The 1909-nt window shown below is 33.6% G+C and overlaps 1 pseudogene; it reads left to right on the forward strand.

The window, feature by feature from the left end:
• LOC100652813 (zinc finger protein 138 pseudogene) lies at window positions 208-1253 on the forward strand (annotated as a pseudogene).
• The last annotated feature ends 656 nt before the right edge of the window (window positions 1254-1909 follow it).

Below are 1909 nucleotides of genomic sequence, written 5' to 3' on the forward strand. Positions count from 1 at the left end.
ACTTAACTCATTTCTAGATTTTCCATAAAGACATTTTGGTCAGTACAGTTTTGTTATAAGTCTATAAAAGAATTAAGACCTGTGGTATTTTTGTTATGCCATGTTGCTAATGTACTTTGTATAATTTTATGTATTAGATTTGTAAACAATAGATTTGTATATTTACATGGGCCTAGTGAGATAATTTGTTATTTTAATTTCTTTCAGCTGTGTTCTCATTTCACCCAAGACCTTTGGCTAGATCAGAACACAAAAAATTCATTTCAAAAAGTGATGCTGAGAAGATATGGGAAATGCAGACATGAGAATTTACAAATAAGAAAAGGCTGTAAAAGTTTGAATGCATCTAAGGTGCAGGAAGGAGGTTATAATGGACTTAACCAATGTTTGTCGATTACTCAGAGCAAAATACTTCAATGTAATACATTTGTGAAAGTCTTAAGGAAATTTTCAAATTCAAATAGACTTAGGAGAAGACATACTGGAGAGAAACCTTTCAAATGTAAAGAATGTGGCCAATTCTTTCACAGGTTCTCACACCTAAGACAACATCAGATAATTCATACTGAAGAGAAACCCTACCAATGTGAAGAATATGGCAAAGATTTTAAGCAGTCTTCAGGTCTTACTATACATGAGAGAATTCATACTAAAGAGAGACCCTACAAGTGTGAAGAATGTGATAAAGCCTTTAAACAATCTTCAAGACTGAATAAACATAAGAAAATTTATATTGGAGATACAACCTACAAGTGTGAAGAAAGTGGCAAAGCTTTGAAGTAGTCTTCAAACCTGACTATACATAAGATTATTCATATGGGAGAGAAACCCTACAAATGTGATGAAAGTGGCAAAGCCTTTAGAAAATCCTCAAAACTGAAAGAACATAAAAGAATTCATACTTGAGAGAAACCCTATAAATGTGAAGAATGTGGCAAAGCTTTTTACTATTCCTCAGGCCTTACTCAACATAACATAGTTCATACTGGAGACAAACCCTACAAATGTAAAGATTGTGGCAAAATTTTTAAGTGGTCTTCGAACCTTACTATACATCAGAGAATTTATAGTGGAGAGAAACCCTACAAATGTGAAGAATGTGGCAAAGCCTTTAAACAATTCTCAAAACTGAATGAACATATGAGAGCTCATACTGGAGAGAAATTCTACAAATGTGAAGAATGTGGCAAAGCTTTTAAGCAACCTTCAGGCCTTACTCTACATAAGAGAATTCATACTGGAGAGAACCCTTACAAATTCAAAGAATGTGGTAAAGCCTTTTATTGGTTTTTAAGCTTTACTAAACATATGATAATTCATAGGGGAGAGAAACCCTACAAATGTCAAGAATGTGGCAAAGCTTTTAAGTGGTCTTCAAACCTTACTATACACAAGAGAATTCATATGGGAGAGAAACCCTGCAAATGTGAAGAATGTGGCAAAGCTTGTAAGCAGTCTTTGGGGCTTACTATACAAAAGAGAATTCATACTGAAGAGAAACCCTACAAATGTGAAGAATGTGGTAAAGCCTTTTACTGGTCCTTAAGCTTTACTGAATATGATAGTTCATACTGGAGAGAAGCACTAAGATGTCAAGAATGCATCAAAGCTTTTAAGGGTCTTCAAATCTTACTATATATAAGACAATTCATACTGGAGAGAAACCATACAATTGTGAAAAATGTGGCAAAGCGTTTTACTGTTCCTCAAACCTTATTCAAAATAATATAGTTCATGCTGAAGAGAAACACTACAAATGTCAAGAATGTGGCAAAGCTTTTAAGAAGTCTTTAGACCTTAATGTATATAAGATAATTCATAGTGGAGAGAAACCCTACAGATATGAAGAATGTGGCAAAGTCTTTAAACTATCCTCAAAACTGAATGAACATTAGATAAGTCATAGTGG

The sequence above is a fragment of the Homo sapiens genome, chromosome 18 (assembly GCF_000001405.40).
Source record: "Homo sapiens chromosome 18, GRCh38.p14 Primary Assembly".
Taxonomy (NCBI): Eukaryota; Metazoa; Chordata; class Mammalia; order Primates; family Hominidae; genus Homo; species Homo sapiens.